This window comes from Homo sapiens, chromosome 11 (genome assembly GCF_000001405.40).
Source record: "Homo sapiens chromosome 11, GRCh38.p14 Primary Assembly".
Taxonomy (NCBI): Eukaryota; Metazoa; Chordata; class Mammalia; order Primates; family Hominidae; genus Homo; species Homo sapiens.
This window is the reverse complement of record NC_000011.10, coordinates 102,666,905-102,681,033: the sequence shown is the minus strand read 5'-3', so window position 1 is coordinate 102,681,033 and position 14,129 is coordinate 102,666,905. Positions and strand designations below refer to the sequence as shown.

Sequence of the window (14,129 nt, the reverse complement as noted above, 5' to 3'; positions counted from 1 at the left end):
AATAAAAATGACTAAAAATTTTGGCTTGCAAGTTATTTTGCATAGAGTTACGTAAGTAAAGAATGCCAAAAGTGACTATTTAAAGTTTCTATTTCATTGGCTGGGTGCAATGGCTCATGCCTGTAATCCCAGCACTTAGGGAGGCGAGGCAGGAGGATCACTTGAGGCCAGGAGTTCGAGACCAGCCTGGCCCACATGGCAAAACCCCATTTCTAATAAAAAATACAAAACTTAGCCTGTTATGGTGGCACATGCCAGTAGTCCCAGCTACTTGGGAGGCTGAGGCAGGAGAATCCCTTGAACCCGGGAGGCAGAGGCTGCAGTGAGCCGAGATTACACCACTGTACTCCAGCCTGGGCGACTCCATCTCAAAATGGAGCGAGACTCCATCTCAAAAATGAAAATTTTTAAAAAATGAAAAAGTTCCTATTTCACTAATTGTTTTCACATCCCTGAACTTATTTGGTTCTCAAGATAATCCTTCAAGATAAGAAAAAAAAATACTGGGGGTGATAAATTCATTTTATTCATTTATAGAGAAGAAAACTAAGATATACAATTATCTGAGGAAAAAGATGCAATTCATATTTAGATACCCTGGCTACTGGTCCTGTGTTCTTTTCTACGTAACAGTCTTTGCCTTTTCAACTTACATTTTTATTGTTGAAGATTATGTGTTTTAATCCTTATGACCCCCTTCTTAAATGATGGGAGCAAGCCTTCGGCATTTTGATATTCAGTAAAGTATCTAATACCAACAAGAACTAAAAGAATATATGTGAGATTGAGATAAAAAATCTCACGGTCATACTTCCATGATCTTGTTCAAGCTTTCACGTCCCCTGCATTTATTCCATGAGACCCACGCCTAAAGCACCAGTGGTGGTTTGGAGAATATTAAAATCCAGCTTATTGTCTTACACAAGCCAAAGAAGAGGAACACTGAGTAAATTTAAAATTTAACAAAGATGTAACAGCCAGTCACTCCAAAGAATATAAGACACTGGAAGCAGGTCTTAATGGGAGCAGACGTTAATACAATCACAGAGCTGCAGCTTCCTCAGGATATCATATATACACAGTCAGTTTGATTAGCCTGAATGCCCAAGACAGTTTCTTTTCAGTGTCCTATGGTGGCTGCAGCCAAGTGCTGACTGGCACACAGCTGGCTGGGCCAGTTCTGAAGCTTGCCTGGAAGGACTGCCTTCTGCTCCCCCAGGCTGGGCCTTTCTCCTACTGGCTAACCCCGTCCCCAACATTTAGGTAGAGCCCTTGATTGCAGGTATTGACCCAGGGCTGGGTTGGACTTGAATTTGGACTGCTGGGCCCTCCTTTTCTTATTCCATATTTCAGTACTTCACAGCTTTCTCATCACACTGGTAGTAACTTCCTCTTAGCTCTTTCTTGCATTCCCCTGAGGCAATTGAAAGGAGCACTGACTGATGATATAGTTTGGATATTTACCCACGTCCAAATCTCATGTTGAATTGTAATCCACGGTGCTTGAGGTGGGGCCTGGTGGGAGGTGTTTGGATCATGGGGGCGGATCCTTATACTTTGGTGCTGTCTTCGTGATACTGAGTTAGTGCAAGATCTGGTTGTTTAAAAGTGTGTGGCACCTCACCCCGCCACCCTCCTCCTACTCTCTCTCTTGCTCCTTCTCTGGCCATGTGACGTCCCTGCTCCCCCTTTGCCTTCTGCCATGCTTGTAAGCTTCCTGAGGCCTCCGTGGAAACTGAGCAGATGCCAGCACTATGCTTCTTGTAAAGCCTGCAGAACCGTGAGCCAATTAAACCTCTTTTCTTTATAAAAAGTACCCTGTCTCATATATCTTTATAGCAATGCAAGAACAGCCTAATATAACTGATGTTGATGTTGCACACTGGCTTGATTCCTCCCAGATTTCTTCTACTGCTGAAACTCTGAAACCTACCCCTCTTTGGAGGAAGATGTGATAACTGCACTATTCTAGTGGAACTCCAGTGAATCTACAAAGAAAAATCATTCATATCTTTTACTGTCTCTGTGGAAGGGACCATCTTTTCTCCTGGAAAACATAAAATGCATTTAACAATTTCTTCCTTAGAGCAGTAATTCTCTATTCTGGATGCAAAGTTAGAATCACACGGGAGGTTTTTTAAATGACCAATAACTGGGCTCCTCCACCCTAGACCAATGAAACCTGAATCTCAGAAGGGTGGGGCCTGAGATTCTGCATTTCTAACAAGTTCCCAGGGGGTGTTGCTTCACAGACTTTCTTTAAGTAGCATAAACTTTCTAAAATGCTGGTTCACATATGTTAGCATGCATCAAAATTACCTGGAGGTCTTGGGCCCCACCCCTAGATTTCCTGATTCAGTCGGTCTTCAGCAGACCTGAGAATGTGCATTTCTAACAAGCTCCCAGGTTATATTGATGTTGCCCATTTTGAAAACCACTATAGTTCACACTACCCCTGCCCCATCCCTACCCTAGCATTTTCGTCCTTCTAACACCACTGTGGCTACAACAGTGAAGACCTGAGAGCATAGAGAGCAAGACCAAGGAAGACAGGTGGAGAGCCCCTAATCCTTTTAGTGTTCTTGGGTCTGATTCCCTAAATTTAACTTCAGGATTTGGTGAAGGCCACCAGCTGTCACCCATGCAGTCTCCTCTGTCCAAAAGTCCCCATTGAGTGCCACGTGTTTATCAAACAGAAGCCAACCTCACATTTACTCAAGCTTCCTCAGAAGCAGTCACTCAGTTCCTAAAGAAAACAGTCACCTCCCTTGGCTGGGCCAAGGGTTTGGGACACTGGAATGAGAGGTTATAGCCAGTTGTGAAACATCTTTCCCAGAAAAGGCCAACACCCACCTGGCATCTGAGGCTTTAGGAATCTGTTTGAAGCATATGGACTTTCATTAAATCAATTTGGCAAACTACTTGGAAAGAGAATTTGCTTACAAGAATCATCTAAGGACAGAAAAAACATTTTTCTTTTCTTTTTTTTTTTTTGAGACCGAGTCTTACTCTGTCACCCAGGCTGGAGTCCAGTGGCACGATCTCAGCTCACTGCAACCTCCACCTCCCGGGTTCAAGCAATTCTCCTGCCTCAACCTCCTGAGTAGCTGGGATTACAGGCACGTTGCCACCATGCCCTGCTAACTTTTGTATTTTTAGTAGAGACAGGGTTTCACCATGTAGGTCAGGCTGGTCTCGAATCATGATGCCTGACATGACTATGTAGCTGGTCAGGGGAATGGGAAGCACCTGTTTGTAAGATAATTCCTTATTTATTCTTCTGGCCCAGGAAAGCTGCCATTAATTACTTCTCTGTTTTCATCCTTGGGCTCTGCATGAAAGGAAGAGAGGAAAAAGTAAATATAATTCCACTGTTTATGAAAAGCCCAGAGAAGTAAGAGTAACAAGCCAACTGCCAATTCTACCTGGGCTTAGCTTGGAGTGGGCGGTTACAAAAGAGGGTGATTCTATCAAGGAAGGTTTAAAAGAAAAAAAAAAAGACATTTCTAGAGCTTGATAGCAACAAGTCAGTTTCCATAAATCTCCACAGGGTTATTAGATGAAAACATCAGGCTTGGTCAGTGAGAAAATATTCAAACCAATGACCAGAAAGAAATGCAAACAGATCACAGAACCAGACATTCTGTGATTACTTCCTCTTAAACACAGACCTAGATTAGCTCTCTCTTAATCTCTCATAAAATTAATCCTTAGCTGAGTGGACCAAGAAACCCAAGTATAGTCTTCACAATTTTATGAATTTAAATCTTCGAATCTTTAGCAAGATTTAAAATTCTCTGTGCACCACATAGTGAAAACTTTCATGAGCTGAAACGGTGCTCTTTCATCCATCCTATAGGGTCTGACTATTGCTTAATGAAGGAAAAAACACAAACCTACACAACCCATTTTAATGTTTTGCTAGTTTTAATGTGCATATGAATCACTGGGGATCTCAGTAAAATGCAGATTCTGATTCAAAATGGCCTTGAGTAGGAACTAAGATTCTGCATTTCTAATAAGCTCCCGGGTGAGCCCATGCTGAGGTTCTCCAGTGAAACAAAGAAAAATCATTCATATCTTTTAATGTCTGTGTGGAAGGGACCATCTTTTCAACAACACCTTGAGTGAAAAGGATCTGTTCCACCTAAACTGGTGTTTTAGATTACAACTCTTAAAGTGGCAAGAGAAAACACAAGAGAATTTTTGGTAACATTTTTTTCTTTTTACATAAGTCACAAACCTAGGAGTCATAATGGAAAAATAGACAAATTTGACCAAATAAAAATTTAAATTTCTACATGTCAGAAAATACTATAGGAATAAAATGACAAGATGGCAGATAGAAGGCAGGACTAGCTTGCAGCTCCCACTTGGACAGACAGAGCAGCGTGTGGAGACTTATGTCGTGAACTTTTGCTCCAAGAACTACAGCAGGAACATACTAAGAAAGCCAAGAGAATCCACAGACCCTTTGAAGGGACTGGATCTCTGCTGCAGACTCCCTGAGATGCCAAAAAACTGTGAGTCGGCTTGCTTTTTCAGCAAGGAGGCTCGTGGTCTGGGGCAAGTTCTCAGCCCTGGTCACTGGCTGCCTGGAAATAGACTCAGTGCTGTTGCAGGGCATGGTGGGAGTGAGACTGGTCTTTAGGACTGCTAGCTGCATGGGAGTGGGGTGAGGCCTGTGACTGCCAGCTTTCCCCCACTTCCCAGATGACCTGTATGACTGAGCAGATGCAGCCATAATCTCCTTGGGAACATAACTCCATTGCCTAGGGACCACACCCCCATTCCCCACAGCAGCTGCAGCAAGCCCTGCCCAAGGAAAGTCTAAGCTCGGACACATCTAACCCTGCCCCCACCTGGTGGTCTTTCTCTACCTTCCCTGGTAGCTGAAGACAAAGGGCATCTCTTGGGAGCTCTAGGGCCCTGCCCACCTTCTGAGAAACCTGAATACTTAACCAGGCATCCCTAGGGCAAGTTTGCATCCTCCCTGTGGTACTGCAACTGATGCACTCTGGAAAGCACCACCTCCTGGCTGGAGGCCAGCCAATACAAAACCAGCACACTAAACAAAAATAGAACCAAGGACCCTCACAGAGTCCACTTCACTCCCCTGCTACCTCCACTGGAGCAGGTGCTGGTATCCAGGGCTGAAAGGCCTGAAGACAGTTCATATCACAGGACTCTTTGCAGACACTCCGCAGCACCAGCCCAGAGCCCAGCAGCTCTGCAGGGTCGCTAGACCCAGAAGACCACAAACAATCACTGCAGTTCAGCTCTCAAGAAGCCTCATTCCCAGGGGAAGGGGAAGAACACCATGTCAAAGGAGCACTCTGTGGGACAAAAGAATCTGAACAGTAACCCTTAAGTCCCAGATCTTTTATCTGACATAGTCTACCCAAATGAGAATGAACCAGAAAAACAATTCTGGTAATATGACAAAACAAGGTTCTTTAACACCCCCAAAAGATCACACCAGCTCAGCAGCCATGGATCCAAATCAAGATGAAATCGTTGAATTGCCAGAAAAAGAATTCAGAAGGTCAATTATTATGCTATTCAAGGAGGCACCAGAGAAAAGTGAAGTTCAACTTAAAGAAATCAAAAACATTACACAGGATATGAAAGAAAAAAATCTTCAGTGAAATAGACAGCACAAATAAAAAACAATCACAACTTCTGGAAATCAAGGACAAGCTTAGAGAAGCGTAAGATGTATTGGAAAGTCTCAGCAATAGAATCTAACAAGCCAAAGAAAGAACTTCTGAGCTCAAAGACAAGGCCTTTGAGTTAACCCAATGCTTCAAAGATGGATTAAAAATAATTTTAAAAAATGAACAAAGCCTCCAAAAAGTTTGGGACTATGTTAAATGCCCAAACCTAAGAATAATTGGTGTTCCCAAGGAAGAAGAGAAATCTAAAAGTTTGGAAAACATATTTGAGGGTATAATCAAGGAAAATTTCCCCAGCCTTGCTAGAGATCTAGACATCCAAATACAAGAAGCTCAAAGAACACCTGAGACATTTATGACAAAAAGACCATTGCCTAGGCACATAGTCATCAAGTTATTTAAAGTGAAGACAAAGAAAAGAATCTTAAGAGCTATGAGGCAAAAGTATCAGGTAACCTATAAAGGAAAACCTATCAGATTAACAGCAAATTTCTCAGCAGAAATCCTACAAGCTAGAAGGGATTGAGGTCCTATTGTTAGCCTCCTGAAACAAAACAATTATCGGCCAAGAATTTTGTATCCAGTGAAACAAAGTTTTATAAATGAAAGATACAGTCTTTTCCAGACAAACAAATGATGACAGAATTTGCCACTACCAAGCCAGCACTACAAGAACTGCTAAAAGGAGCTCAAATCTTGAAACAGATCCTTGAAATATGCCAAAACAGAACCTCCTTAAAGCATCAATTTCACAGGATCTGTATATCAATAATACAGTGAGAAAAACACAAGGTATTCAGGCAACAGATAGCATGATGAATAGAATAGTGCCTCAAATCTCAATACTAACGTTGAATATGAATGACCTAAATTCTCTACTTAAAAGACATCGAATGGCAGAGTGGATGGGAATTCACCAATCAAGTTTCTGCTGTCTTCAGGAGACCCTGCTAGAGTGCTTTTCTGGCAGCCGCCATTGGGGGGTTCCCAATTTGCTTCTAGCAAATTGGGAACACCTTGGCACCTCAAGCATAGCAGGTGCTTGACCTTGAGGGGCCAAAAACAAAGCTGCAGACCTGGTCCCAGCACCCCATAGTTGGAGCATGAAGCTCAGGAGTGCTGAGCTGAGCCCTGGCCTCCTGAAAGCATCCAGAAATGAAGCCAGTCAACTACACCCAACTTATACCACAGTTAAACTTTTCAGGGCATCAAAAAATATAAAAGCAAAAAGGCCCATTCAAAGGATAACAAATTCAAAGATTAAAGGAACATCAGCCCACACAGATGAAAAACAACCGGCACAAGAATTCTGGCAACTCTAAAAGTCAGGGTGTCTTCTTACCCTCAGACAACCACACTAGCTCCCCAGCAATAGTTCTTACCAGATTAAAGTGGCTAAAATGACAGACATAAAATTCAGAATCTGGATGACAAAGAAGCTCAAAAAGATATAGGAGAAGATTGAAACCCAATCAAGAAAACCAGTAAAACAATCCAAGAGTTGAAAGATGACATATCAATTTTAACAAAGCATCAAACTAAACCTCTAGAAATGAAAAATTCACTACAGGAATTTCATAATGAAATCAGAAGCATTAATAACAGAATAGACGAAGCTGAGGAAAGAGTCTCAGAGCTCAAAGACTGCTCCTTCAAACCAACACAGGCAGACAACAATTTTTTAAAAAATTTAAACATGAACAAAACCTCTGAGAAATATGGGATTATGTAAAGAGACCAAACCTACAACTCATTGGCATTCCTCAAAGAGTTGGAGAGAGAGGAAGCAGCTTGGAAAACATATTTGAGGATGTTGTCCACAAAAATTTCCCCAACCTTGCTAGAGAGGTCAACAGGCAAATTCAGAAAATTCATAGAACCCCTGCAAGATACACTAGATGGTGAACAACAATTCCCAAGACACATAGTCGTCAGATTCTCCAAGGTCAACATGAAAGAAAAAATCTTAAAGGCAGCTAGAAAGAAAGGGAAAGTCAGGTACAAAGGGAACCCTGTCACACTAACAGCAGGCCTTTCAGCAGAGACCTTACGAGCCAAAATAGATTAGGGCCCTGTATTCAGCATCCTTAAGGGAAAAAAAATTCTAGGCTGGGTGTTGTAGCTTATGGCTGTAATCCCAGCACATTGGGAGGCCAATGCAGGAGGATCACTTGAGCCCAGAAATTTTGGACTAGCCTGGGCAACTAGGTCAGACCCACATCTCTACAAAAAATAAAAAATTAGCCAGGTGTGTGGCATGTACTGCAGTCCCAGCTACTCAGGATGCTGATGTGGGAGGATCACTTGAGCCCAGCATGTTGAGGCTACAGTGAGCTGAGATCACACCACTGCACTGCAGCCTGAGCAACAGAGTAAGATTATGCCTTAAAAAAAGAAAAGAAAAGAAATTCCAACCAAGAATTTCCTATCCAGCCAAACGAAGCTTCATAAGTGAAGGAGAAATAAAGTCCTTTTCAGACTGACAAATGCCAGGGGAATTCATTATCACCAGACTTGTCTTACAAGAGATCCTGAAGAGGGTGCTACGCATGGAAATGAAAGACTGAGGCCTGCCACCACAAAAACACACTTAGGTACATTGCCCACTCACACTATAAAGCAACTATTCAATCATGTCTACAGAACAACCAGCTAACACACAGTGACAGAATTAAATCCTTAGATATCGATATTGACCTTGAATGTAAAGGTCTATGAATGGTGTCAACACATTCACAATATCAATATGTGTGAATGTAAAGGTGTAAACATTTCACTTAAAAGGCATAAAGTGGCAAGTTGGATAAAGAAGCAAGACCCAAGTGCTTGCTGTCAAAAGACCAATCTCATCTGCAATGGCGCCCATAGGCTCAGAGTAAAAGGATGGAAAACGATCTATCAAGAAAATAGAAAACAAAAAAGAGCAAGGGTTGCTATACTTATTTCAGACAAAACAGACTTTAAACCAACAATGATCAGAAAGGACAAAGAAGGGCGTTATGAAATGATAAAGGGTTCAATTCAACAAGAAGACTTAGCTGTCCTAAATATATATGCACCCAACCCTGGGGCAGCCAGATTCATACAAGTTCTTACAGACCTATGAAGAGACTTAGATAACCACACGATAACAGCAGGAGACTTCAACACCCCACTGACAGTGTTAGACAGCTCATCAAGGCAGAAAACTAACAAAGATATTTGGGACCTAAACTTGACACTTGACCAAATGGACCCTAACAGGCAGCTATACAGCACTCCAACTGACAATAGAACATACATTCTTCTCATCTGCACATGGCATGTAATCTAAGATATAGAACACTCCACCCAACAACAACAGAATATACATTATTCTCATCTGCACATGGCGTGTACTCTAAGATTGACAACATGCTCAGCCATAAAGCAATTCTCAAACAAATTCAGAACAACCAAAATCATACTAACCGTGTTCTCAGACCACAGTGCAATAAAAATAGAAATCAATACTAAGAAGATCACTCAAAACCATACAATCACAGGGAAATTAAACAACCTGCTCCTGAATGACTTTTGGGTAAACAATGAAACTAAGGCAGAAATCAATAAATTCTTTAAACTATTGAGAACAAAGATACAACATACCAGAATGTCTAGGACACAGCCAAGAAGTGTTAAGAGGAAAGTTTATAGCACTAAATGCCCATCAAGAAGTTAGAAAGCTATCAAATGAACAACCTAACATCACACCTAAAAAAACTAGAAAAAGAAAAGAAAAGCAACCCCAAAGCTTGCAGAAAAAAAAGAAATAACCCAAATCGAGCTGAAGTGGATGAAATTGAGATATGAAAATCCATGCAAAAGATCATTGAAACCAAAAGTTGGTTTTTTGAAAGAATAAAAGGAATTGATAGACCAGTAGCTAGATTAATAAAAAGAGAGAGAGAGAGAAGGCCCAAATAAACACAATGAGAAATGACAAAGGTGACATTACCACTGACCCCACAGAAATACAAAAAACCCTCAGGAACTATTATGAACATCACTACGCACACACACTAGAAAACCTAGAAGAAATGGATAAATTTCTAAAAACATGCAACCTGCCAAGACTGAACCGGGAAAAAGTTGTAATCCTGAATAGACCAATAAAAAATTCTGAAATTGAATTAGTAATAAAAAACCTACAAACCAGAAAAAGTCCTAAAGCACATGAATTCATAGCTAAATTCGACCAGATGTACAAAGAAGAGCTGGTACCAATCCAACTAAAAATATTTCAAAAAATTGAAGAGGTGACTCCTCCCTAACTCATGCTATGAGGCCAATATCATTCTGATACCAAAACCTGGCAGAGACACAATGAAAAAGAAAACTTCAGATCAAAATCCCTGATGAACATAGATGCAAAAATCTTCAACAAAATACTAGTAAACTGAATCCAAAATACTAATAAACTGAAAGCTAATTCACCACAATCAAGTAGGGCTTTATTCTTGTGATGGAAGATTGGTTCAACACGCAAAACCAAAATTCGTCCTCTTTCATGTAAAAACCCTTAACAGACTAGGCATTGAAGGAACATACCTCAAAATAATAAGAGCCATCTATGACAAACCCACAGTCAACATCGTACTGAACACGTGCAAAAGTTGGAAGCATTCCCCTTGAGAACCAGAACAAGACAAGGATGTTCACTGTCACCACTCCTATACAACATAGCCAGAGCAATCAGGAAAGAGAAGGAAATAAAAGGTATCCAAATAGAAAGAGAGAAAATCAAACTATCTCTCTGCACAGACAATGTGGATTATGCCTAGAAAACTCCATAGTCTCTACCTAAAGGCTCCTAGAACTAATAAACAACTTCAGCAAAGTTTAAGCATACAAATCAATGTACAAAAGTCAATAACATTTCTACACACCAATAATGTTCCAAACTGACAACCAAACCAAGAATGCAATCCCATTCATGATATCCACAAAGAGAATAAAATAACTAAAAATACAGCTAAGCAGAGAGGTAAACAAACTATACAACAAGAATTGCAAACACTGCTGACAAAAATCACAGGTGACACAAATGGAAAAATATTCCATGCTCATGGATAGGAAGAATCAATATTGTTAAAATGGCCATAATATCCAAAGCAATTTACAGATTCAATGCTATTCCTATGAAACTACCAATACACCTAAAAAAACAGAAATTGACAAGTAGGACCTAATTAAACTGAAGAGTTTCTGCACAGAAAAAGAAAGTATCAACAATAAACAGACAACCTACAAAATGGGAGAAAATACTCACAAAGTATGCATCTGACAACAGTCCCTTTATCCAGAATCTACAACGAACTTAAATCAACAAGCAAAAAACAAACAACCCCACTAAAAAGTGGGCAAAGGATATCAACTGACACCTTTCAAGAGAAGACATAATCTTAGCCAGCAAGCATATGAAACAATGCTCAACATCACTAAGCATTACAGAAATGCAAATCAAAACCACAATGGATACTAGCTCACACCAGTCAGAACGGCTATTATTAAAAAGTAAAAAAATAACAGATGCTAGTGAGGTCATCTAGAATAGGGAATGCTTATACGCTACTGATGGAATGTAAATTAGTTCAGCCCTGTGAAGAGCTATAGAAAGTTTAAACATTTCTCAAAGAACTTAAAACAGAACTACCATTTTACCTAGCAATCCCATTACTGCATATATACCCAAAGGAACATAAATCATTCAACCAAAAAGACATGTATGTTCATCACAGTGATATTCACAATAATAAAGATATGGAATCAACTAGATGCTCATCAGTGATGGACTGGATAAATAAAATGTGGTACATATATATCATGGAATACTATGCAACCATTAAAAAACCAAAATGATGTCATTTGCAGAAACATGAATGCAGCTGGAGATCATTATATTAAGTGAATAAATGGAGGAACAGAAAATCAAATACCACATGTTCTAACTTATAAGTGGGAGCTAAACACTGAGTACACATGGACACAAAAATAGGAACAACATGCATTGTGGCCTACTTCAGGGGAGAGGTTAAGAGAAGAGTGAGTGTCACAAAACTACCTATTGAGTACTATGCTCACTATCTAGAAGACAAAATTATCTGTACACCAAACTTCAGAGACATGCAATGTACCCATATAACAAAGCTGTACATGTACCCCTGAACCTAAAATGAAAGTTGAAAAAAGAGATACTTGTACATGTATGTTTATCACAGCACTATTCACAATAGCAAAAATATGGAATCAACTTAAGTGTCCATCAACAGAGAATTGGATAAAGGAAATATGGATAAAGGAATAAAATCATGTCTTTTGCAAAAGCCCAGATGGAACTGGATGACATTATCCTAAGTAAAATAACTCAGAAACAGAAAGTCAAAATACTAGCATGTTCTCACTTATAAGTAGGAGCTAAACAATGGGTACACACAGACACACGGATTGTAAGAATTGACATTGGAGACGACAAGAGGTAGGAGGGTGGGAGGGGGATGAGGGACAGAAAATTACCTGTTGGGTACAGTGTTCACTATTTGGATGATAAGTACATTAAAAGCCCAGACTTCAATGCTACACGATATAGGCATGTAAGAAACCTGCACTTGTACCCCCTAAATATATTTTTTAATTAAAAAAATTTTTAAGTCACAGACTTATGATTCCATTTGTATATTCTCTACATGACAAAATTATAGATACAGAAAACAGATTAGCCGGTGCCAGGGTTTAAGGATAGTGGGAGGCCAGGGGACAGGTGTAACTATAAAAAAGCAGCACAAAGGAGATCTTCATGGTGATGGACTAGTTGTGGATATTGATTGCAACAGTGTTTCCATGAATCTACACATGTGATAGAATGACAGAGAATATACACACATTGTACCAACTGCCTAGTTTAGATATTGTACTATGATTATGTAAGATGTAATCATTGGGGAAAACTGGATGAAGGATACATGAGTCACCTCTGTATTATCTTTGCAACTTCATGTGAATCTATAATCATTTTTAAATTAAAAGTTTTAAAAAAGCAGCCATACATTCATGCTAAATTTAACATTTGGTTTGTGTATTGAAAAAAAATTTCTAAGGCAAGCTAGATTAAAAAAGAACGTAAGGTCAAGAACAATGCATATAATGTAGTCCTATTTACTTTTTTCTTTCAGAAAGGCAATATATGCAAGTACATATGCATATACATATGCAAGTACATATGCATATACATATGCAAGTACATATGCAAATACATATGCAAGTACATATGCATATACATATGCAAGTACATATGCATATACATATGCAAGTACATATGCATATACATATGCAAGTACATATGCATATACATATGCAAGTACATATGCATATACATATGCAAGTACATATGCATATATATATATGCAAGTACATATGCATATATATGCAAGTACATATGCATATATATATGTGCAAGTACATATGCATATATATGTGCAAGTACATATGCATATATATATGTGCAAGTACATATGCATATATATGTGCCAGTACATATGCATATATATATATATATGCCTATATAATTTATATATACAGAAATTTCCAAAGTAAAGGACAAGATACTAATAGCAAAGGCTGACCCTGGGGAACAGACTGGGGGAACCCAGAGTAAAGGATATTTTTAACATGAAAGAGGACTGTATTAATAATTGCACAGAAACAACAAGCATAACGAGCTCAAAACTCAGAAAATCAGAGTTTATGGTCACTGAGAGTAACATTACTCAATAAATGCCAGTTATTGTTGTTATCTTTTCTTCTTCCTTACATTTTTACCTATTTTGTGCAAAAAAAAAGTTTATGATAATGGTAGACTAAGTTATTTGTATTAACACTCCTATTAAAAAAATTGATAGGATAGTTTTATAGTGTTGGTAACCCATCAAATATATGATAGGATATCCTCTTAAACACCTGTCAGTCACTCAGTGGTCATCAACCTAAATGCTTACCACACCAGGAAGGTAAAGTAAATATGTGAGGGCCAGGTGTATTATTTAGGAAAAGATTGAGATGGTGGCAAACAAGAAATAACACCCAGACAAAGCATTTAAATACAAATGTATACAAGACATGGCTTGGATGAAACAAAACACATTTGTGTTCTGCCAGTCCCCCACAGCAACCCATGCATGTCTGCCTGCTAAGGAATCCTGTTCCACTGTAGGCAGATCTAATTGCTAGAAAGCTCCTTGTGCTCAGCTGAACTTTATGTCGGTAATTTCCCTCTATAAATCCTAGATCTGAGCATTTTCTTCATAACAATATTTAGTTGACTTGGCTTTAGCAAACACTTGCTGATGTCTAATAAGAACTAGTTCCTTTAGCACACGTTCAAAGCTACCTACAGGTAGGTAGACAATGTAACTCAAGTTTGTCCTCAGAAAGACTAGG

General features: G+C 39.4%; 1 long non-coding RNA gene across 1 annotated transcript in view, besides 1 other annotated feature; it reads right to left on the bottom strand.

The window, feature by feature from the left end:
- The window catches only part of MMP20-AS1 (MMP20 antisense RNA 1), a 46,089-nt gene that overhangs the window by 6,179 nt on the left and 25,781 nt on the right, over nucleotides 1-14,129 (bottom strand). Inside the window, exon 2 of the long non-coding RNA NR_183620.1 lies at nucleotides 3,250-3,331. This is a non-coding gene — a long non-coding RNA (MMP20 antisense RNA 1). The remainder of the gene's footprint in view (nucleotides 1-3,249; nucleotides 3,332-14,129) is intronic.
- Nucleotides 1,598-1,767: an enhancer, noted in NCBI's record as "experimental_18677 CRE fragment used in MPRA reporter constructs". NCBI's record gives its function as "activates a minimal promoter by MPRAs in K562 erythroleukemia cells, with activity observed for both the introgressed and non-introgressed 11:102550083 variant alleles {active_cell/tissue: K562}" and the evidence as "EXISTENCE:reporter gene assay evidence [ECO:0000049][PMID:34662402]".